The sequence below is a fragment of the Homo sapiens genome, chromosome 21 (assembly GCF_000001405.40).
Source record: "Homo sapiens chromosome 21, GRCh38.p14 Primary Assembly".
Classification (NCBI taxonomy): domain Eukaryota; kingdom Metazoa; phylum Chordata; class Mammalia; order Primates; family Hominidae; genus Homo; species Homo sapiens.
In genome coordinates, this window is record NC_000021.9 from 30,402,454 (window position 1) to 30,428,610 (window position 26,157).

General features: G+C 36.9%; 1 protein-coding gene and 1 long non-coding RNA gene across 2 annotated transcripts in view; both read right to left on the minus strand.

The window, feature by feature from the left end:
* Positions 1 to 26,157, minus strand: part of LOC105372772 (uncharacterized) — an 82,493-nt gene that overhangs the window by 9,238 nt on the left and 47,098 nt on the right. The gene's annotated exons all lie outside the window — the stretch shown is intronic.
* Positions 22,927 to 23,473, minus strand: KRTAP13-3 (keratin associated protein 13-3). Its single transcript, NM_181622.2, has one exon. The coding sequence runs from the start codon at positions 23,457 to 23,459 to the stop codon at positions 22,941 to 22,943; it is 519 nt and encodes a 172-aa protein (NP_853653.1). The 5' UTR covers positions 23,460 to 23,473; the 3' UTR covers positions 22,927 to 22,940.

Genomic DNA, 26,157 nt, shown 5'->3' on the forward strand with positions numbered 1-26,157 from the left:
TCATCTTTTATGCTTAAATGAAAAATCAAACTACCCCTGGATGCCTACACTGTACAGACCTTACCAATAGAATCTTGGGGCTGGATTAACCAGGATCTGGTTGCATATCAAGTCTCTATTCTCATACCCCCACATCATTCACACAATAATACAAGTGTAGAAATAGAGATTAGAATAAAATGAAACAGATGTGTCTACAAGCCTCTTTGATTGGTGCAGAGAACATGAACTAGAATTCTATAATTTTTCAGAACAAATTGGTTAACTTTCTACTCTTAGCTAAGAGTAGTTTTGCTCTCTATTCATCATGTGGCTACCCTAATGTTTTGCCATGAAGACTATTTTGAAGAAGTGTTTCAAAAACAGAAAGAATGGAGAAGGCTAAGACATTTAACCTTACTGAAGGAAATGGAGGAGAAATTAATTCTGCTTTGGAATATAAAAACAAAATTTTTTTTTCAGATAATTATATAAATTTTGTGCAGTTACTGACTCCTTTTTTCTCTATGCTTCTTTTAAAATTGAACTACTTGATTTTATTGATCTTCACAAAACCTAAATTTGACTCTGTTGATTTTCTGTTTTATGTTTGACTTCTATTTAATTGGCTTCTGTTCTTGCCGTCATAATTTTCCACCTTTATAATTTCAGACATTTCTTTTGGCTTAAATTGCTATTTTTTTTTCCTAGCATCCTCAAATAAAGTACTGAAAATTTGATTTCAAGCTTTTTAATATTCTCATTAAAATCTAAAATTTTCCTTCTAAACAGTTAAATCTCTCAAATTTTACTGCATTTTATCATCAGTATCATGTATTTCAAAATATTGTCTAATTTCCATTGTGGTATTTCTTTCTTTAACGTTTGAATTATTACAAATGGCATTGATTAATTTACAATTGTATGAGATTTTTTAAGTTAAACACCAGAAATTAATTTGTCTTACATCTGCTTATATTTTACCCTTTAAAAAGTGTATTGCCAGTGCTCAACTGAATAATAGCTCACATTTAAAGTCTGATGCCAGCACCTGTGATAGATTTCATTTTAACAAATTTTCTTTTCAAAATAAAATTTGCATGATTTAAGGGTAATAAACTTTTTAACCCTGGAATAATGTGGTGGCTTGTTATCTATTCATTTTCTAATGTTATTTTCTTGTGTATTTGTGTTATTAAAATTAAAGATCTATAGTTCTCTGTGAATGAGCTTTGTATACAAAGCCTTAACCGATATCCTCAGAGTTTTTAACTCTCTTAAAGTAATAATTTCCCAGTAGTTCAGAATTTGACAGTGAAGCATTCTCTGACTAAACACCTCAGGAGCAGAGAAGAGCTTAATTCACTCCATGAACCATTGCCCATGTGTTGCTGCTAACAGGAGGAGGGAACAAAGAAGCTGTACAAGCACCAGGAATACATAGAGCAGGGTGACACTTCAGGCTTATATGACATGGCTCACATTAAGCAAAACAAACAGAGAACTCATGTTTGTAAAATTGAGAAAAGATTGCTTATGAGCTTTTTTCGTTTTCTTTTTCTTTTTTTTTGAGATGGAGTTTTGTTCTTGTTGCGCAGGCTGGAGTGCAATGGCGCGATCTAAGCTTACCGCAACCTCTGCCTACTGGGTTCAAGCGATTCTCCTGCCTTAGCCTCTCGTGTAGCTGGGATTACAGGCGTGCACCACCACGCCGGGCTAATTTTGTATTTTTAGTAGAGATGGGGTTTCACCACGTTGGCCAGGTTGGTTTCAAATGCCTGACCTCAGGTGATCTGCCCACCTCCGCCTCCCAAAGTGCAGGGATTACAGGAGTGAGCTACTGTGCCCAGCTGCCTATGAGCTTTTAGTAAATATCTTTGAATTCACCCCATTTTGGGTGCAAAGTTGCCTGAATCCCTGCATTCACCAACTGGCTTCCAGACTGATTTATTTCTCTGAGTGTGTGTAAGTAGATTATAACTGAACCTATGGGGGAAAGGATATAGACGTGGAAGCTGTGGGTTCCATGTTAGTGCTTTCCCATGGCTCAAACTCAGTGTAGCTGGAAATAACCTTCTGTAGCAGCCAATATGGCTATTTTAGTTATATCTCACAAACAAGGATGCTATTTGATTTTCTTTTAATGGTTACTTTCTAAGTTTTCATGAATGTAGTATTTCACAAAATAATAAGTTGTCAAAAATATGACTGGTTGTAAATGAGCTAAAATTAAAAGCAAAATGACACCTTTGTGTAGAGCTGACCAATCTTTAAATAAATTTTCTATGCATCATCTCCTTACACCCTCAAGCAGACCTGTGAGAGAATTCACTCATAGTCTAAGGTTCTTTTGCATATGAGAAAATACAGTCTCTAAGAGAATCATAGACTTGACAAAAGTGCCATTCCTTTAAAAAATGAGAATGTTTCACTCTTTCTGGTAAGAAACTGTGTAGATCACCAAATTAAATTTAATGTATTAAGGTGGCACTTGAGCTCTAAAAGAGTCAGTATCTTTTTTTTTTTTTTTTTTTTGGACAGGGTCTCACTCTATTGCCCAGGCTGGAGTGCAGTGATTTGATCACAGTTCCTTGCAGCCTTGAATTCTGGGCTCAGGTGATCCTCCTACCTCAGCCTCCTGGGTAAATGGGACAATAGGCACATGCCACCATGCCTGGTGATATGGTTTGGCTGTGTCCCCACCCAAATCTCATCTTGAATTGTAGCTCCCATAATTCCTACATGTTGTGGGACGGGCCCAGTAGGAGATAATCGAATCATGGGGGCAGTTTCCCCCCTACTGTTCTCGTGGTAGTAAATGAGTCTCATGAGATCTGACGGTTTTATAAGGGGAAACCCCTTTCACTTGGTTCTCATTCTCTTCTGTCTGCCGCCATGTAAGATGTGCCTTTTGCCTTCCACCATGATTGTGAGGCCTCCCCAGCCACATGGAACTGTGAGTCCATTAAACCTCTTTTTCTTTATAAATTACCCAGTCTTGGGTATGTCTTTGTCAGCAGTATGAAAATGTATTAATACAACTGGCAAATTTTCTGTTTATTTATTTTTATTATTTATTTTTATTTTTTATTTTTATTTTTTTGTAGAGACAGGGTTTTGCCATGTTGCCCAGACTGGTCTCAAACTCCTGGGCTAAAATGATCCACCTGCCTTGCCCTCCTAAAGTGCTGGGATTACAGGCGCGAGCCAAGAGGCAGTTTCCAGGTCATGCAGCAAGCAGAGGATGGAACCCTGCTTCCTAAGTTTCATTTTAATGCAGTTTCAATTGTGTCCTGTGGTCTCATTTTCCCTCCCTTCATCGGCCCTCTTTCTTATTCTTCTCCTCCCCATTATCACCACCATCCTCATCACCACTAGATTGCTTGGGTAATAATCATGGTTAGTAGACTTTTACTGGGAAATCCAAAGGGATTGAAATAATGAGTGAAAATATGGAAGGTTCTATTCAGTTTTCTGTGACAGAAATTGGAATGACAATGTTCGATGCTCCCTGGTGAACTTGATCTAATTTTGTTTATAACTTTCATAATTTAAAAAATGTTATAATTCAAGTTAGCTCTATATATAGAATTCTCATCTGTGAGTTTCTGCCATCTTAGAGATCTAGAACACAGACACAAATAGCATTAACATTAAAGAATACTTTCTGGCTAAGCCAAAGCCATCTTGGATTAATGGAAATGATATGCCTATTTTAGATATAAAAGTGGTTCTCTGGCCTCTGGAAATACTCTAGTTAGAAAAGCAAACTACCTTTTAAAGACTAATATGATAGTTTCAATAATAATTACACAACTATATAGTGAAGCATGCTTACACAACTGGTAGTTATAATGTTGGAGACAATAAATTTGCAATATCAAAACTGGTACTAAAGTTAAATAGATTAATATCTAATTTCAGGATGAAATAACGATAAATTTATCATCATATTATAAACTCTATCATTATAAACTTTATCATTCTATCTCAAGAAACTATCCCAATGCCATATTAAAGTTTCTCTAAAAATGGCCAGCCGAAATCCCTGACTCTTTTGCAACATTTTGAATTTACCAGGATTAAGGTAGATTTCTCCCTATATTCCAGCAACTCAGCAACAGTGATTCCAGATCTCCACTTCCCTACGAAGGCAGTCCTGCTCTCTACCAGATTTCTATTAGATCTCTCATGGGCTTTGCCTCTACCAGTGGTGTGGGTTTCCACTGCTGCCTTCCCTGTTTGATCTGTTACATTCATTAGCTCTGTGAGTCTTGAATCTGGGGGTTCAGGTCTTAAGTTCCTGCTGCCCTAGCAACTGTATTTCCAGAAATTACCATCCATCTAGCTACTGGCCAGCATGTGGTTCTGACTTCCAGGAATTACTGTATTCAGTTTCCCAGGAAGCTCATCATGAATCATTTATATGCAATTGATTTTACCAATTTTTATTTATTCTTGTCACTTTAGTGATTACAGATAACAACTTTGTTCCTCCCAACCTTAACTTCTGTATTTTTCATTAGTCATGCCTCAGTAGCATTTTGTCACTTTTCAAAATAAGATTCATCTGGCTCTGTTCTTAGGGAATGCATGATGAAAAAATATTTTATTATATTTTTCAAGGAAAATGCATCCATTCATAGGCTACCATATAATGAGAAAATTTTAAAACAATTTTTTAAAATACAGTTCGTTTCTCTGAACTTACCATTTAGCAGGTTTAATCGATGTTAACCAAATAATTATTTAATTATAGTTGCTATTAAAGCTGTGAATAAGCAGCCTCAACATATAAGAACACTTAACGAAGAGATGTCACCTATTTAGAAGTCAGCAAAGGTTCCCAAAGAAAGTATCCTATCAGCTGAGTCTAGAGAGTGAGTAAAAATAGCTTGATTGGGGTGAGAAACTGGAATAAGCATATCCAATTAGAAGGTGCTTTGCACTAATTTGAATGAAAAGGATAAAAACCTATGATTAGTGATATCCAGTCATCAGACTATCTGTATGTACTCATTCTACATTGCAAGTTCTGTCTCACATTTCTACATAAACCCTCTTTTACTGTACACCAACTAAATTTCACTTCTTCCCTAAATACAAAATATGCATTTTTTTCTCTCTGCTTTGGTCATTTTACTTTACCTTCTCATATTTCCCTTAGCTATTCTCATAGTTCTTGTGATTTTGATATTCAAGATAGCTCCAACTTTTAGATATATGTTTAAAAGTTCTTCTGAAATTGGAGCTAAACTGAATTAGAATGAAATTTAAAGAGTGAGGTAGTCAGGATACGATGGTATATTGAATGTCGTGATCTTGAACAGGAGAAATTCAATTAATAAACTGCTGTATGTAAAGACCCCACTTTCCGAGCTGAGAGAGTTTGAAAATGGAGTTCTCAGGCTCGCTGGGGATGGCAGAGGAGGCGTGTTGTTGCAGATGCCTTCTAAGTTAGCTCAATTAATAATATCAATCATCTTTTACATGTCTCCCTGGTCAGATATCACTTGATACTGTAAACAATAGGCACTTAAAACAAAAAAGATACATATTTATTGTTATAAACAGAAACGAATGTAGCACACTACACACTCATACATACACGTGCAAATCAACTATACTGCACATTCCCAAAACATTTCTAGTCAACATTGAACTATTGGTCTTATAACGAAAAAGCAAAAAATAAAAATAAAAATAACAGGAAATAAGTGGTAAAACATTCTAGTCACAGGTGCGACTGCTCGCATCGAAAATCCTAAGTAATCTATAAAATTACTATAGAAATATTGATTTTATTTGTCTATACAAATGAAAAGCATATGAAAAATTAAGTTTAAAATTAAGTTAAAATATATTGTAATAATATCAAAACATATCATTTGTGGAATAGATCTTGAATCGTATCATGGATCTATGAATTTAGGGATAATTTTTATTATCTCAAATTCACAGATCCAAAACATTCCAAACAAAAGTGCCAAAATTGCCAAAAATTGAAAAATTGACTGAAATTTATAAAGTTTAACAGAGGAAGAATAGGCAACACCATCTTTAAAAGGAGAAATAAAATAGGAAGATGTATATCAAAATATTATGGTACTGGAATTAAATATAGATAATTAAATTAGTGGAACAAAATAGAGTTATGCAACAGATCCACATGTGTGCTACCTATTTTTTACAAAGATGTGAAGTCAATTCGAATGTAAAAACATGTCTTTTCAACAGATGGTATTAGAGTCACTGATATGTGTAAATATCCAGGCATCTGGAGCACCCTCTCTCCTGGATTAAGAGTTTAGGGCACCCTTTCTACCTTTGCAGAGATCTTGGGACTGAGGAGCTTTCACACCTCCATACCTGACCCGCCTCTGAGTGTTTGGTGTCTGCCGACAGAACTCTCCCTCAAGGCTGATGCTTGTGCCTGTCATCAGGGGACCTGTCGGCAGAACTGCCAAGTCTGGCCCTGCCCATCTTGGCCGCTGCTCCCATGGAGCTGAGCAGGGAACTCAAACCACTGCGCACTCCACAAATCAGCCCATTGGCTGAGGGAACAGAGAGCTTCTCCCAGTAAACAAGGATCAAGTTACGTACGTAGCCACGTCGGCTGCAGCTGGCTGTTTCCCATCAGCGCCATCTACTGACTTGCAAGTCAAACCACACAGTCCAGTATAAAACATGCCAACAGAGTGCGTAGGGCTATAGAAGCAAAGCCAAAAACCCTACCCAGCATTCTCTGCAGTCGCACCCCCTAAGGAAGTAGGAAGGGGAAAGGGAGAGAAAAACAGAGAAAGAAAGAAAAAGAAAAAATACTACCCCACAAAAATAATTACAATAATTAGAAGTACCAGTGCTTCCAGACGAGAAGAAACCAGAACAGGAATTCTGGCACCATGAAAAATCTGTAGTGACACCACGAAAGGATTACACTAGCTCTGCAGCAATGGTCCTTAGCCAAAATGGAAACTCAGAATTGATAGATAAAGAATTCAAAGCATGGATGGCAAGGAAGCTCAATGAGATCCAAGACAAGGTTGAAAATCAACAGAAAGAAACTTCTAAAGCGATCCAGGAAATGAAGAAAGAGTTAACATCTGAAGAAATAATTCAGAGCTTCTTGAAATGAGAAACTCACTTAGGGAATTTCAAAGTACACTTGAAAGCTTTATCAATAGACTGGGCCAAACAGAAAGAATAATTTTAGAGCTTGAATATTGAACTCTCCTAGGTAGACAAAAATTTAAAAAAATGATTTTTTAAAAAAACTGAAGTCTTTGAGAAATATGAGATTTTGTAAAGTGACAAGTCCTACAAATTATTAGTATTCCTGAGAGAGGAGAAAAAGTAAACAACCTGAAAAACATATTTGAGGGAATAAATTAATGAAATTCCCCTAATGTTGATTGAGAGATAGATATTGAGATATAAGAAATCCAGAGAACACCTGTGATTTGCAATACAAAACGAATGTCACCAAGGCATACAGTCACCAGACTGTCCAAGGTCAATGCTAAAAAAATTTTTTAAAGGCAACTAGAGAAAAAAGTCAGATTATGTACAAAGGGAACTCCATCAGGCTAACAGTGGACTTTTCAGCAGAACCTTACAAGCCAGAAGAGATTAGGGGCCTATTTTAAGCATTCTTAAAGACAAGGAATTCCAATCAAGGATTTTCTATTTAGCCAAACTAAGCTTCATAAGCAAAGGAGGAATGAAATCTCTTCCAGACAAGCAAACACTAAGGGACTTTATTACCGCTAGAACAGCCTTACAAGAGAGCTTAAAGGAGTTAAAAACCTGCTGCCGCAAACACATATTTAAGTACATAGCTTACAGACCCTATAATACAACCACAGAATAGAATATCAACAAAGCAGCCAGCTAACAACTTCGTGATAAGATAGAAACTTCACATATCAAAATTAACCTTGAATGTAAATGGCCTAATGTGTCAATTGAATGGCACAAAGTGGTAAATTGAATTTAAAAAAGAATATTCATTTGCTGTGTTTAAGAGACCCCTCACACACACTATGACACCCATAGGCTCAAAGTTAAGGGATGGACAAAGATCTATCTCACAAAAGGAAAACAGGAAAAAGAGCAGGAGTTGCTATTGTTATATTGGATAAAACAGACTTTAAATCAACAACAGTAAAAGAATAAAAAAGAGCATTACATAATGATGAAGGATTTAATTTAAAAAGAAAACTTAACTATCTTAAAGATATATGCACTCGGCCGGGAATGGTGGCTCACGGCTATAATCCCAGCACTTTGGGAGGCCAAGGCAGGTCAGAGTGAGACTCGGTCTCAAAAAAAAAAAAAAAAAAGATATATGCACTCAACATTGGAGCACCCAGATTCATAAAACAAGTACTTCCAGGTCTGCAGAAAGACATACAGCCACACAATGTTAGTGGGGAGACTTCAATACCCCACTGACAGCAGTAGACAGATAATCAAGGCAGAAAACCGATGAAGAAATTCTAGACTTGAACTCGGCACTTGACTCTAATAAATATCTACAGAATAGTCTACCCATCTACCACAGAATATACATTCTTCTCCTCTGCACACAGAACATGCTCCAAGATTGACCACATGCTCAGGCATAAAATAAGTCTCGATAAATTTAAAAAAAAAACAAACCTCATTTCATCATACTCTCAGATCACAGTGCAATAAAAATGGAAATTAATATGAAAAATTTCCCTCAAAACCACACAATTGCATTGCAATTAAGCAGCCTGAATGACTTAGCGGTTAAAAAATGAAATCAAGGCAGGATTTAAAAATTCTTTGAAATGAATGAAAACTGAGACACAACACACCAAAATCTTTTGGATGCAGCAAAAGTGGTGTTAACAGGAGAGTTTGTAGAACAAAATGCCTACCTCAGAAAGTTAGAAAGATCTCAAAGATTTGGTATCACACCCAGAGAAACTAGAAAAACAATAACGAGCTAATCACAAATCTAGCAGAAGAAAAGAAACAAGCAAAATCAAAGCACACATGGAAAAAAATTGAGACCTGAATATTTATAGAGAATCAATTAAACAAAAAGTTTGTTCTTGGAAAGGATAAACAAGATGATTCTAACTAGTGACCTATTGATCCCTAGTTAGAGTAACAAAAAATAGAAGAGATAAGATTCAAATAAACATGATCAGAAATGAAAAAGGTGACATTACAACGAATCTCACAGAGACATAAAAGATCCTCAGAGACTATTATGAATACCTCTATTGAATCAGGAAGAAATTGAAACCCTGGAGAGACTAATATTGAGTTCTGAAATTAAATAAGTAATTAAAAAAACTACCAACCAAAAAAAAAAAAAAAAGCCCAGTACCAGATGGATTTACAGTTGAATTCTACCAGATGTACAATCAGGAGCTGGTACGAATTCTATTGAAACTATTCCCAAAAATTGAGGAGGAGGGACTCCTCCCTAACTCATTCTATGACTCCAGCATCACTCTGATACAACACATGGCAAAAACAAAATTAGAAAAGACAATTACAGGCTAATATTCCTAATAAAATAAACACAATAAAAACTTAACAAATAATTAGCAAACAGAATCCAATAGCATATCAAAAAGTTAATTTATAGTGATCAAATAGGCTTCATTCCTGGAATGTAATGTTGTGTCAAGATGTGTAAATCAATAAATGTGATTTACCACATAAACTAAATTACAAACAAAAACCAAGTAATTATTTCAACAGACAGAAAGAGCTTTCAATAAAATCCAATATTCCCTTACGTTAAAAAACCCTCAAAAAAAACTAGGCATCAAGGGAACATACCTCAAAATGATAAGAGCCATCTATGACAGACCCACAGGCAACATCACACTGAATGAGAAAAATCTGGAAGCATTCTCCTTGAGAACTGGAATAAGACAAGGATGTCCACTCTCTCACTACTCCTATTCAACATAGTACTGGAAGTCCTAGCTAATGCAGTCAGGAGAAGGAAAGAAATAAAACGAATTCAAATAGGAAAATAAGTTAAACTGTATCTCTTTGTGGATAATATGATTCCATACCTAGACAACCATAAAAACTCTGCCAAAAAGCTCCTGGATTTCATAAATGACTTAAATCAAGTTTCACAACACAAAATCAATGTAAAAAATTAGTAGCATTTCTATATATAACTATTATTTAAGCTAAGAGCCAAATCAAGAATAAAATAATATTTACAATAGTCACGTCAACAATCAAATACCTGGGAATACATCTAACCAAAGAGGTGAAAGGTCTCTAGAAGGCAAACTGCAAACCACTGCTGAAAGAAATCATAGATTATACAAACAAATGAGAAAATTTTCATGCTCATGGATTTGAAGAATCAATACCGTTAAAATGTCTATACTGCCTAGAGCAATCTACAGATTCAATGGTATTCCTATCGAACTACAAATTTAATTCTTCACAGAATTTTTAAAAAGTATTCTAAAATTCATATGGAAAAAAAAGGATCTCAAATAGCCAAGGCAATTCTATGCAAAAAGAACAAAGCCAGAGGCATCACATTACCTGACTTCAAACTGTCCTATAAGGCTACAGCAACCCAAACAGGATGGTACTGATATAAAAACAGATACATAGACCAATGACACAGAATAAAGAACCTAGAAATAAAACTACACACCTACAGCCAGCTGATTTTCAACAACTTCAGCAAAAATAAGCAATACAGAAAACACTCCCTATTCAATAAATGATGCTGGGATAGCTAGTTAGCAATCTGCAGAAAAATAAACCTGGACCCCTATTTTTTACTATATACAAAAATTAACTTAAAATGAATTAAACATTTAAATATAAGACCTCAAACTATGAGAAATCTGAAAGAAAACCTAGGAAACACCATTCTGGACATCAGCTTGGGAAAGAATTTATGACTAAGTCCTCAAAAACAATTGCAACAAAACCAGACATTGATGTGGGACCTAATTAAACTAAAGAGCTTCTGCACAGCAAAAGAAGCAATCAACAGAGTAAACTGACAACCTATGGAATAAAAAAAAATTCCACAAACTATGCATCTAACAAAGATGTAATATCCAGAATGTGTAAGAAACTTAAACAATTGAACAAGCAAAAAGCAAATCACCCCACTAAGAGACACTTCACACACACACACAATACAAGCAGCCAACAAAAATATGGAACACATTTCAAATAAAAATCATCAGAAAATTGCAAATTAAAACCACAATGAGATGCATTCAAACCAGTCAGAATGGCTACTATTAAAAAGTCAAAAAGCATCACATGCTGGCGAGGCTGTCTAGAAAAGAAAAAACGTATGCACTGTTGATGAGAATGTAAATTACTTCAGCCACTATAAAAAAATAACAACTTAAAGCATAGCTACAATTTGACCCAGCAATCCCATTGCAGGACATATATTCAAAAGAAAGTAAGTCATTTGACCAAAAAACAAACAAATAAACAAACAAAACCACACATACACTCGTATGCTCATCAAAGCACCATTCACATTCGCAAAGACATGGAATTAACCTAGGTGTCGGAGGCATTTGAACCAACCCTCATGGCTGCTCTGCCTACGGAATAGCCATTCTTTTATTCCTTTACTTTCCTAATAAATTTGCTTTCACTCTACTCTAAAGACTTACTCGGAATTCTTTCTTGTGTGACACCCAAGAATCCTCTCCTGGGGTCTGGATCAGGACCTCTTTCCTGTAACATCTTTCTGGTGACCACAGAAGTGCAGAAGTGACTATAGTGGGAAACCCATGACCCAAAGTGTAACTTTGGGTAACTGGTAGAGTCCAGTAACATCTTTTTGGTGAACCACGGAAGGGGCAATACTTAGAAGACTGCTTGATCCAAAGGAAACAGACTGCAGCTCTGATCAGCCAACTTTGGGCAGGTGTTGGGGTACCCAGGTAAAGAATGGGATTGGGTTAGAGGCTCAAGTTAGGGGAGTTAGAGTCTCTCCTAAGACAGATTGGGTTAGACGCCCCTCTTAATAAAAGGCAAGGACGCTTGACAGACCTTGGGTTAGAAGCCCAACTTAGGAGGGTTAGAGTCCCTTTTAAGGAACCTAAGATTTAGGGGGTTAGAGGCCCCTCTCGGTGAAGTCCCTTTTCGATAAGAACTGGTTTGGCTCTATGGGATGTTAACCACTATTCTCTTTAAATTAATCTGCCTTGCCCTCTTTGCTGATGGCCATGGGTGAAAGGGTTAGCCATGTACAGATCATTATGAATATGGGGAGCTTTTTCCTCCCTCAAAAAGGGGAAACTTGAGAGCTGATGGGACTGCTGGAAAAGATCTGTTTGCCATCGACAAGCAGCCACCTAAAATTTTTAGTGTTGCTGCAATGGGTGGGTCATTCTCTGACCTTCCTGAGTATCTCACCTTCCCCACTCTGACTCAGGCAATGCTTTCCTCCTTCTCTCTCTCCCTCTTTTTTTATTCCCTCTCTGAACAAGCAGGTTGAATGAATGGTAAAATTCACTGTTTATCTCCTGTAAAGTTTTGCTTAATGGAAAAAAGGATTTATAAGGCTAGTCTTAAGCTGTAGCAAAGGGTGTGCTTTGTGTGTCTTTCTGTATTATTCTGTCCTAATAAGGTGTACCTTAGGATAGAACATGGATTTAGGACACCCAGGTGTGTTTTTCAAGATGGCCCAGCAAACTTGTCAGTTAGAAAGTTTGACACAGGTCCCTGAAAAAACTGGATGAGATTTCCTTCTTGTCTTGTATGTCCATCTTTGGGAGCTTGGCCTTGTAACCATGTGGCCATGCTTTCTCTTTTCACAATGGCAGACTGGGCTTAAGGTTCAATTCCTGGCTTAGAAAATGAGTCCTTTATTTTCTGTCTAAGTATTTTTTTTTTGAGATGGAGTCTTCCTGTGTTTCCCAGACTGGAGTGCAGTGGCATGATCTCGGCCCACTGCAAGCTCTGCCTCCCAGGTTCACACCATTCTCCTGCCTCAGCCTCCTGAGTAGCTGGGACTACAGGTGCCTGCCACCATGCCTGCCTAATATTTTGTATTTTTAGTAGAGATGGGGTTTCACTGTGTTAGCCAGGATGGTCTCAATCTCCTGACCTCGTGATCCGCCCACCTCAGCCTCTCAAAGTGCTGGGATTACAGGCATGAGCCACCACACCCAGCCCTAAGTATTTTTATGTATTATGTATGTGATGTTTGTATATGAAAAAGACTTAACTAATTGGTTTAATAACAATAAGAGCTTAAATCAAATATTTTGTCAGAAAAGTTAAAAGTGTAATGCCTTTTGGTTCCCATGACTTAAGTAATCTTTGAGAAATAAAAAACAATTTTAAAGATTATTGGCAAAATAAAAATATCTTCAAAAATGTAAACATCTGGTCTAAATCATATACGTCAGCTATTTAGTTTGCTAAATGCTTTAAGGTTATAAACTGCTTATTTGTCTTTTAAAATTGTTCAATTCATTTTGAAGCATTAGATTCTAGATAAGGCCTGAGGACATGTGGAATTAGCCGTGCCCCCTAGCTATGCAAGGAAGGCTATAAAGAAAGCTTTTATATAAGAAAGGATGTTGTACGGTAAATTATTGTCCTAAAGTAAAATAACTGGTTGTTTAAAAAGAGGGATGTTTAGGGCAAGTCAGAAAGTCTAAACATGTTGTACATGGCCTATGTAAGTCCTGAAAGGATTCGTGAGAGGGAATTTATGCACGAAATGTTGTACATTTAAAAGTGATTAGGCCTCCTAAATGCTTCATAAAAGGCATCTGTGACTCTTAAATGTACAATTTGCCTGGTTTACAGCTAGGTAAAGCCTGGGACACATGGAGTTAGACACTAGGAAGAGTCAAACCTTAACTGCACTTCTGTCTGCTGTCCTAGGCTCCACGCCTAGTACATAATTAAAATCCCGAATTTAACAAAGATTTTCATGAAAAGGAAAAGTTTGTAAGAGTCAACAGTGCAACATGTGTTTGAGACTACCAAAAAAACCCAATTTTACACACAAGTCATGTCAGGAAAGTAGGATGTACTTTTGGTAAAAGAGTATAAGAAGACATAGAAATGTGAATTTCTTGCCTATGGTTAGAGAGTTAAGAATTGTTTTAAGCTAAATAGGATAAAGATGAAGGTTTTAGCAAGTTGTGGAAGGTTTGTGAAAATGAAAAATTAATTGTAAAAGAGATTCTGTGTGTGAACATATTGGCTAAAGTTAAAGGGGCATTACTCAGTTTTTCCATAAATTAAACATTGGAATAAAAGCACAGCAGGTTGTTCCTAAAGCAAAAGCCTGCATATAATCTGCTCTTTAACAAACATTGTAAAGAATTTAAAAAGGTTTATGAGGATCTTACCTTATGGTCAAACTGATTACAACTGGATAGATTTATTTATATAAGGTTTTATAAAGAATTGGGTTTGACATCAATAATGCGTTAATGCAACAGTGACATTTGGCTTATTTGGTATAAAAATTATACGAAAAGCATTCTCAAATGTGAAATGGTGTTTGGCTTTCTTTGGGCTGTATTTGCATAAATGTTTCATTGGTATATGTTCCAAAATAATGGGAAAGCCCTATAATTCTAATATGACTTAGTATATATTATTAATAATTATAATTGTCATTGTATGGCACAGAGGTAACCAAATTTCTCTGTCAATCATGTTTTTGACTGTGGCTGTCCTAAGACGTTTTGTCACCTACAGATAATTGTTGTCTCATTTTAGTCCTCTTTAGAAGGTGGTTTTATAGTCAGCTACAGAACTCCAACAGGTACACTTGAATACAGATTTCTGATAACTTTAGAGACTGTGACATCAGAACAGAGAAAACAACTTCCAGAAGTCTCATGGAGAGCTAAAATGTTCATGAATATCAAGCAGAACAGAAATTAACTTCATGGAATAAACTGAAGAAGTCTAAAGTAATCCGTTTATCTTTTTGCTTAAAACATTGCTGATTCTTTGTTTTGTTTTTCAGAATGAAGGAAATTTTTCTTTAGAGCTATTTACAGCCTTTGACAATTGAGTAGAGTATACTCCTGTGAACAAAATTTGGAGCATATTTGTTTCTCTCTAGCTGATTTCTCCAGAATTTGGAAACACATATTTGTGAGTATTCTTAATTTATGGTTATATGGTTATTTGCATAAGTTCAGTAAGAATCTGTTTTCTTTTGCAGCAGGACACCATTGGAGAAACTGGTTATTTTACCACAGCTTTGTCTGGAATGGTGTGTTTTCCTTTAAGGAATCAAACTTGACTTGTAAAGCCTATAAAAGCCCCTGGGAACCTGGCCTTACACCTTGTCTACCATAGTCCCTTATAGGGTTTGTGACCTGTGGTAAGTGAAGAATGTCACTCTCTAACAGGTCCAGGAGCCCCAAGTTATCTTGGGACCCCAAGAGGAGAGGAATTTACTCAACTCATAGATATTTGAAGGTGCAAACCCATGTCTGGGCTGGGCTCTTAAAAAGTCTTACCTACGAGTCCTTCTATGGAGCAGAGTTCCATCAAAGACAATTTAAAAAGAGTTTATGTAACAAAATAATTATTCTTTCTGCCATTTATACAAATAATCAGGCCAAGTATAATAAAGCCAATAAGTCTTATCATGATTTGTCTTTAGTAAAAATGAAAAACTGGAGAGAGAAATATTATGTTTCCAGAACTATGGTACAGTTGTTATTAAATTCTCATCTCATCAGTTGTTTATAACTTTGTTTCTGCAATGTAGGCTAACCCTACTTATTCTTGCGTACCAACCAGTGATCTCTAACTGCTGCTCAGAAAAAACAAGAAGGATGGGTAATGTAAAAATCTAAATCAGTTAATTCTGGGCACATTGCAAATAGCTAGCAACCCCACATCAGCTTGGTTCCACCTGTTGCCCAGTTCATGAAAAGTCTTCTAATTTAGTTTGTTTGGGATAATTTTACTTGTTTTGCTTTATTCTTGTGGAATATATTGCTGTTGTACTCTTGGTATAGGAATGCAGAATAAGCTTACTAAATGTTTTCTTAAATTGAACACTTAATTAATCTCCCAGATATCACCTTTTGTCAGAACTCAAGAGTTATAAATGACCCTCAGCATACCAACTCTTTCTAACTGAGCTCCTCTCTACCCTGAACACAAGAGACCCTAATGGTTAGGCAGGAATATCATCGCCCGTATTCAGCCTGAAGATGTTACAGAAGATGGATCTTCATCCCTCAGCAACCCTTAGGATTAAGAGTTTTCTTATAAAAGTGGGGGAAATAGCAGAGGTGTTTGAAGCAGAGCTACTCCATCTTGAATAGGAGCTGGGTTAAATAAGGGTGAGATCTACTGGGCTGCATTTCCAGATGGTTAAGGCACTCTAAGTCTCAGGATGAGACAGGAAGTTGGCACAAGATACAGGTTATAAAGACCTTGCTGATAAAACAGGTTGCAGTAAAGATGCCAGCTAAAACCCAGCAAAACCAAAATGGAGACGAGAGTGACCTCTGGTCATACTCACTGCTACATTCCCACCAGCGCCATGACAGTTTACGGATGCCATGGAAGCATCAGGAAGTTACCCTTTATGGTCTAAAAAGGGGAGACAGGAATAATTCACCCCTTGTCTAGCATATACTCAAGAAATTACCATAAAAATGGGCAACCAGCAGCCCTCGGGGCTGCTCTGCCTATGGAGTAGCCGTTCTTTTATTCCTTTGCTTTCCTAATAAACTTGCTTTCACTTTAAAGACTTGTCCTGAATTCTTTCTTGTGCAAGATCTAATAACTCTCTCTTGCGTCTGGATTGGGACCTCTTTCAGGTGTCCATCAGCAGTGGATTGGATAAAGAAAATATGGTACGTATACACGATGAAATACTTAGAGCCATAAAAAAGAACAAAATCAAGTTCTTTGCAACATCAGGAATGCAGCTGGAGGCTATCATCCTAAGTGAATTTAAAGCAGGAACAAAAAAAACAAATACCATATCTTGTTACTTACAAGTGGGAGTTAAACATTTGGTACTTATGGGCATGCAGATGGCTACAATAAACAATGGGAACTTCTAGAGTGGGGAGAGAAGAAAGGGGCAAGGATTAAAAACTGGTTGGGTACTATACTCAGTACCTAAGTGATGGGATCAATTGTACCCCAACCCTCAGCATCATGCAATATACCCATGTTATCAACCTGCACATGTGTCACTTGAATCTAAGATAAAAGTTGATTTTTTATTTTCAAAAAAGAAGGCGAACAATACATAGGAAATTACCAATACTAATAACTACTTTGGGAATACGTAAAAAAATTCAACTTTAGTATCAATAAAAATATAACAATAATGAGGGAAAAATAAACACTAAACAAAAGATTCCATGGGTATGGCCAATAAACATAAAAAAGGTGTATAAAAATCACTAGTCACCAAATAAATGCAACTTAAAACCACAGTGAGATGCCACTTAGCAAATGGCTGAAAGAAATATGGCAAATGTTGGTGACGATGGAGTTCGTAGGCGTCTAGGAAATTGCTGGTGGGATAGTAAAATAATGAAACTAACTTTGGAAAACTGTTTGGCAATTTCTAATTTAGTTGAGCATATGCCGACTCTATGGTCCAGAAATTTCATTCATGGTTTTCTTCCCCCCGAGAAAAAACTAAAAACATATGTTCACAAAAAGAAACTGGAACAATCAATATTCATTGTGCTCTATTTTTTAAATCTTGAGAAAATTTGATGTCAGTCAATAGATGAAAGAATACACACATTGTGATATTATTAACAAAAGGGAATATACGGCACCAATAAAATGAATAAAACATATCACCACATGAAGCTTTTCGAAAACATTAAGTTGAGTGAAAAAAGATGCATATGATAAAAAAAATGTATGATTTCATTTTTATGAAGTTCTAGAAGAAGCAAGTTAATGTATGGTGATAGCAATCACTACAGTAGCTGTGTCTGGGGTCAGGAATTGATTTAAGAAAGGAACATGAGTGAATTTTCTGGAGTGAAGAAATTTTCTGTATTTTGATCAGGTAGTCATTACACAGGTGTGTATATTCATCAAAGACAACAAGCTCTACCCTTTGAAATATGTGCATTTCATGGTATGTAAATATTGATTGAATAAAAAATATTATTTAAAAACAGAGGTATTCTTATAGATATACCTCTGCTTAAAAATATTTAATGGCTTCTTGTTGGTTTTAGAAGAATGTCTGCAACACCAAATTACAACTCTAAGGACCTGCCTAGAATGGCTCCAAAATACCTCTGTGGCCTAATTTCAAACTCTTCTTTCCTTTTCTCTTAATGACCAGCCAAAATGGCTTTTAGTCATGCCATACACATCTCAAAACTTTTTTTTTTTTTTTTTTTTGAGACGGAGTCTCGCTCTGTCGCCCAGGCTGGAGTGCAGTGGCGCGATCTCGGCTCACTGCAAGCTCCGCCTCCCGGGTTCACGCCATTCTCCTGCCTCAGCCTCCCGAGTAGCTGGGACTACAGGCGCCCGCCACCACGCCCGGCTAATTTTTTTGTATTTTTAGTAGAGACGGGGTTTCACCGTGTTAGCCAGGATGGTCTCGATCTCCTGACCTCGTGATCCGCCCGCCTCGGCCTCCCAAAGTGCTGGGATTACAGGCGTGAGCCACCGCGCCCGGCCCACATCTCAAAACTTTTGTCCTAGAAACACTTCTGGTACCACTTACTGATTCCATACTTATTGTTTCAATCTCTTTTAAATGTTAGTCCTCTGAGAAACATTTCCTGACTTCTAAGACTAAGTAAAGTTCCCTTGATGTATATTATTTTAGCAAAAAACCAGCTCATTATTTTTGTAATTAAACAATTGTTTAATATTTACTTCATCTGTTAGACTTTCAGCCCAGCTAGAACAGAGACCACGCGTTTTCTTAATTCATTTATTATGGAGTAATGAATGAATATAATCTTATTTTTAAAAATATATTCAGCAATATATTTCCACAGCAAAGATTCTGGTTCATGGTAAAGGCTGAATAAATATATTGTGAAAAAGGGTGGTACTGACAAAACATTTGACGATGTATTCTGAGACATGACTAATAAAAAACAGTCAAACAAACATGGGGTCAGGGTGTTGAGGAGGACAAAGCTGCTCTCTGTAGCCACTCATGAGGTATGCATTAATGAATAGAAATTGTTGAAATCAAATGCCTAGAAATGATTTGTGAGAGAATTTCCTGGAAAACTGGTTACATTAAGTCTTGGAAATCAGAACTGCAAACCAGTTGGTAGGCAGATGACCAGTAGCTTCTAAGATTATAATTGCATGGGCAGTAGTTGCTTGGGAACTAAACTCCTGGGTTCAAAATGCATAGCGCAAGCATCTGTCAAAGTATGCAGCAGGAGGGAGCTGGAAGAATGGAGGCAACTAGATGTAGTCCAAATAAGTGCCAGCCGATTTCCTGTTAATCATGTAGAATGGGATCAACTTGGTGACAATCAGAAGACTGTAATTCACTATGCTATATGCAGTTGCTGAAATAGAGAATAAAAGCTGCATTCTGGGAAATTTAGAGTGTTGCTAGAGATTTGGAATGGGAGAGGGTGGATGTTTCCTAACTGGTAATGACATGATATAAACTCAGGAGTTACAAGTCTCTCGTGATAAAATAATAAAACTTTCTTGTTTTGACTATCAGCTAGAAATGGTACCTTTATATAATAACCGGGGCAATTGTGGTATAAGTTCAGAGTCCCCATCATTGAGTTTTGATCATTTGTTTGTGAGCACTCTATTATACTGCTATCTATCTGTGATCAATCTATCTTTGAGTTATTTTCTAAATTTGCATGTTTACTAGTTTTGGTAGGCAGAATAATGGCTCCTAAAAGATGTTCAAATTCTAAATTCTGGAATTTGTAAATATGTTCCTTCACATGGCAAAGAAGAATTAAAGTTACAGATGAAATTAAGCTTGCTAAAACAGGGTGAGTATCTTGGATTACCCAGCCGAACCCAATGTAATTGTAAGTATGAAGTGGGAGGTAAAGGCAGAAAAGTAGGTCTAAGCGATCCACTATGAAAATGATTGGACTCACCACTGCTGTCTTTGGAGACAGAGGAATGGGACCATGAACCAAAAAATGTAGGTGGCCTCTAGAACATCCATCTCCAAACTTTTTGGTACCAGGGTCAGGTTTCCTGAAAGAGTTTTTCCACAGATTGGAGCAGGTGGGGAGGGATGGTTTGGGGATGATTCAAGCACATTCCATTTATTGTGCACTTTATTTCTATTATTATTACATTGTAATATATCATGAAATAACAATACAACTCACCAGAATGTAGAACTGGTGGGAGACCTGGGCTCGTTTTTCTGCAAATAGATGGTCCCATCTTCAGATGATGGAAGACAGATCATCAGGCATTAGATTCTCATAAGGAATGCGCAACCAAGATCTCTCGCATGTGCAGTTCACAACAGGGTTTGTGCTCTGATGAGAATCTAATGCTACTGCTGATCTGACAGGAGGTGGAGCTCAGGCAGTAACAATTGCTCAACTGCCACTCACCTCCTGCTGGGCTGCCTGGTTCCTAACATGCCATGGACCAGTACCAGTTCATGGCCCGGAGGTTGGGGACACCTTCTCTAGAATCTGTAAAAAGCAAGGAAATAGATTCTCCCTTAGAGCCTCTGGAAAGAAACTCAGCCCTGCTAATACTTTGATTTAGCCCAGTGAGGTCATCAATTCATCAGATTTTGACCTACAGAATTAAAAGATAATAAATTTGTATTGCTTAAAACTCTAAGTTTAATCTAATTTGCTATGGCAGTAATAGGAAACCAAGATTAAAGTGTATTCCTGAAAGCCAGAAAACCATTCCTGCATCTGCAATTTGGAGACAGTAACAGAGGAAACCTCAGCCTGGCCAATAAGCTATAGGTGCTCCTCATTAAACCCTTACCATTGCCTATGTTTTGGGGATATAAGGCTTGATCATTACTCTTGAGTAAATATTATGAGCATGGGACTAACTAGAATCACTAAAATTCAAAAAATCCATGAAGTTATAAAAAGGACCAAGTTTATAGAGGATTTCACAGTTTGTCATTTTAATTTTTGTAACTCAATCACTGATAATTTTTCCTATGCATTTTCTTTCATTATTCCTTATTTCTTTCCTCTAACTATATAAGCACCATGACTATTTCCTAAACATGATGGAGGAGAAGGAGGAGGGAGAAGAAGAAGAAGAGGAAAATAGGGAGCAAATGACGGAAGTGAGGAGATAAGAGAAAATGTCACAGCTGGATAGATCCAATAAAATAAATTGGGTGGAATAAAGTAGTTCTACTCACAGCTCTACAATAGCTTGCTGAGTAACATTTTAAAATTCTATCTAACGCTACTGTTTCCATTTCCACCTCTGTAGAATAAGAATATTGAAGTCGATGAACTCTACAGCTCTCTTTATATTTCATATTTTATCACATTCGCAGTAAAAGAGGAAGAGAACATGATGAGATGACTGTTATGTACTTATAAGACTAAGTTTTTTGTGAAGTGTCTAATAATCTGCATTATATTTCTAATTTCAGAGAATGTTAGAAGATCTTATAAAATAAAGAATAGGAAAATACTTGAACATTGCTTGTTTTATATAAATATTATGTCTGCCATTACCATCGTATTGTCTTAGTACCTTACTTTTTATAACACTTGGATGTAAGAGAGCAGAACAGCATAAGTACAGTCTATCCAATTTTATTTCAAGATACGACAAAAAACAATCATTTTTGATGATAGTAAAGGCTTCAGAGTTTTCAATTAGATTCAGTTTATATTTTGGCAAAGAACCCAGGTACAACTAACACCTGCTGAGCCTACTTCCTTCCCATCAAAGTTTGTTGCCTGCCTTTTTAAACAAATGGAGATCATTTGAGCAGATTGAAAACAGTAATTGGGGTTCAGGGATTTAGCTAATTAAAAATAAGTGATACTCCTGCACTATGATACCTGAAGCTCATAGGTGCTCTTTTCTAAACATTTACATCCATGTGTTAGTCTTCCATTTTAATATACTTCATGAACAGGCCTAATCATATAAGTATGAATTTTGTTCATGTACTCTTCAAACTTTTCTGTTACATTCTGTCCTTAGAGATGCATGGCATATTCAAGGAATGAACAAGGATAGTCAATGCTCTTAATACTATCAGTAACTTACTTTTTATAACGCTTTGATGTGAGAGAACAGAACAGTATAAATACAGCCTATCCAATTTTATTTCAAGATACAACCCAAACAATCATTTTTGATGATTCTGATGAAAGGTTATCATCAAAAATGATAGCAAAGGCTATCTTAACTATCCTGACGAGGATACTTAAGAGAAAGGCTATCCTTGGAAACTGTGAGAATCCCAGAAACTCCTGCTTAAAGAGGAGGAAAATATCTAAAGCCCAACCAAAATTAGTGTGGAGATCCCACAATCTGGGCATTGCAAAGCCCATTACCAGAAGCAATGACAATGCACATCCTAGACAATGCTTTACTAATAAATAGCAATATTAACAGCACATTTGGACAGAAGAATAAAGAGTTTATTAAAATAAAATCTTTTTCACTTCCTATCTCTTTTGGAAAGAAATACAAAAACTATAAATTATATCTATAATGCAGTTTGGATCACTCATTGATCCAATGGCTTCAGATATCTGAATTATAAAATCCATGCCTTCCCTTCCCAGAGTTATAGATCCAGATTGATCCAGTTATAGATTATTCATTGATCCAAACTGCAGTTTGACAGAACTAACATACAACCCAGTTTTTGAGGGCTGGAAAGTAAGGAAGACCTGGTGATCAATAATATTAGAATACTTCTCAAAGGAAGAAATTAACAGATGACCTTACTAAAGAATATGCATTTCTCAAATGAGTTTTACCAGTCACCACATTAGTCAGTAGAAACCAGATCTACAGAATGGCTGATAACAAGATGAATGGAACCACCTTCTAGGTGGAAAATAGATTGGATGGCAGAATCTGGATCTATAACTCTGGGAAGGGGAGGTATGGATTCTATAATTCAGATATCTGAAGCCATTGGATCCACAGCCCAGTGAGGAGCAGCTCCTGGATCCACAGCTCAGGGAGCAGCAGCTATTGGATCCAAAACCCCGAGACCCAACATGCATAGTCAGGCAAGAATTGCAGAGCATGTGAGTCCTGGGGTAGTAGCAGGAGGTGTGGCAGGGGCTGGACTCAACACACAATGTCTGACAGCTGTTGGGCCTCCAGCAGGTCTCCTGACAGCCCCTATAGAGAGAGGAACCCAGCTGGCAGGTGCTGGGAGAGCAGAGGTCAGTGCTGTAGACCAGGTTGCTGGGGTAGGAAGAGCCACAGGAGGAGCCTGGGTAGTGCAAGTAACCCCCGTGGGAGCAGGAGGAGAAGTTTCTAGAGCAACAGTTGTAGGACATGTTGACGGGAAGATGTGAGTTCAGCTGAGTGTACCTGGGAAGATTCTGAGTTTTAACGTGGCATCCTGGACAGTGTCATTTATATCCTCTCAGCAATAGGTGTGGTGCACAGCAGAGTCATCCCTCACATTTTTGTGCTCCCTCATTTACATATGTGTAGCTCAGCAATCTTGCCTGTAATTGCATTTGAATACTTTTCCACATGTTGTATTTATGCGTGCTATAATTTTGGTGTTATAGCACAAAGCCAATGAACTGCACTTATGCCAGAAATGCTATGACTGTTTCGTATTAATATTTATTTTATTATGTCTAGGAAAGCACCTCCTTTTCCTCCTAGCATAATTTTCATGTGTCTTGTTATTGGCTGTTATGGGCAATAATTTTCCCTAAACAGTGAGAAATGAGATAAAGTTACATGTCTTTTTTGTCAATGGATTAGAGACACAACTTTGGCCTTAATGAGAAACCTGCTGAAAACTAAACCTACATGTCACCATCCTTTCTCATTCCACAAAAGTTTCCTTCATCTATTATGTACTGTTACTCACTGTGTCTCACATCCAGTGTAGAGGGAAAAGTATGAGCCAAGACAAATTGAATAACATTGATGCCTATGACCAGAAGGAAACCTGGACAATTATTTGGAGACATGGTGACAGCAAGGGATGGAACTGAGACAATCACAAATGAAAAACAATTCTGGGGCCTTATGAAGAGAATTAAAGTGTTAAATAAACACACACCATTGAAATGACAGAAAAAAATAAATGAATTTTAGATTCAATGCATCTAATATGAGGCCCATGGTCCTAAGAGATTCTCATTCATATGTGTGGCAGCCTGGAGAATTCTCATCTCGGATCTTAAATTACAGGAGGCTTAAATAACCAGTGGTCCTACCTGCTGTGTTCTAAAAGTTAACACTGCATTTTTGGGGAAGGCTTGCTTTCTCTGGGCTGCTCCCAAGCAAAGACTGAGCACAGTGGGATATAGGAATTCCTGGAAGACAATTGACGGCCAGCTTTGACTCAGGGTTTCCTCAACGGCCTTAAAGAACTACTGTCTCCTGCATAGGTCTCAAGCACTTCTTTCTCTTTCTCCTTCACTTGGGCCAGACCTATGTCCAAATCTTACAACTCTCCCAGCCTCTCTCAGGGGAGACTCTGGAAAGAGAAAAAATGCAGAAAATCTGTAAATATTTAATCTTGTTTATACTTTTTAAAAAGTGATACTGTTTGGATTTGTGTCCCTGCCCAAATCTCAGGCCAAATTGTAATCCCCAGTGTTGGGGAAGGCCTGGTGGGAGATGATTGGATCATGGGGGTGGATTTCCCCCTTGCTGTTCTCGTGCTAGTGAGTTAGCTCTCATGAGATCTGGTTGTTTAAAAATGTGTAGCACTTCCCCCTTCACTCTTTCTACTGCTTCCCTTGTAGGACTGCCTGCTTCTCCTTCATTTTCTGCCATGATTGTAAGTTCCCTGAAGCCTCCCCAGCCGTGCTTCGTGTACAGCCTGCAGAACTGTGAGTCAATTAAACCTCTTCTCTTTATAAATTACCCAGTCACAGGTAGTAGTTTATAGCAGTGTGAGAATAGACTAATACAAAAAGTAAACCAATTTTTTGAAGGATAGCAAAAAATTTAAACTGAACATTTTATCTTGAGTATGCCAATCAGGGTAAACAAAAAAAAAATTATTTCAGTTGTTCAATGATTTAGAGAAACAATAAACAAACTTTTGAGTTTAGTTTTGGAGCTTATGTTCAGACTGTCTCCAGGTAATATCTGCTAAAACTCATTTTTTCAGCCATCTCCACCTTAGTTAGACTAGATCTACACCATTCTCCTATTATTTCACGTGTGAGTTGATGTCTTTTATCAAGATTGGTAAATTCCCAACTGTACTCTCTTCAAATATTGCTTCTGCCCCATCCTCTCATCTTTCTTTTGCTTAGATTCCAATTATAAGCAAGGTACACTTTTTAACTACATTACATATGGCTTATACTCTTTTTTCTATTTTCAATCTTTATATAGAAGTATTGGCTTTTGCTTATTGAGGTTGTAACCTGGATGGTTAGTGAAAGCAAGATTTTCCAGCATGTTAGTGACAAGTTGCCTGGTTATTTTGAAAAGAGAAGCAGGTAGGTGCCAAACGTTGTAATTTTCAACTATGGATGAGATTCTGTTGAAAACATATCTCAAATATCCAAAGCCATTATTCATAGCCCAGTGAAGAGAATCATCTGTCAAAAGATCAGAAGCCTTTTGATGTATATCCCTGAGCCATATATTTTATGTGAAAGATCTCAATTTTTAATTGTTGATAAATAATTCAGTCAAAAAAAGAAACAACAATGATGAGGCTCCATATTAAACAGAACAAATAATATGATCTCCAAGATGAAGTGAGTCCAAAGTTGTGGCATTTACAAGTTCTTCTTAAACTTCTATCAAATTAATGTGGACAAAGTTTTAGAGATTTAGAGGCAGAGAGAAGGGAAGAACACCTCTTTTCACAATAACTGGTTCAGAGAAGGATTTTTGAATAAGGAGCCTGGATTAACTGAAGACAAATTCACTAAATCCCTTAGTTTTGCCTGAATAAATTCATGCTCTCCATTTAACTCATAAGTTTTGTATTCAAGATTATTTTAAAGAGTTACATTTGAAACAAAAGAAAATGGGGAAGGAATA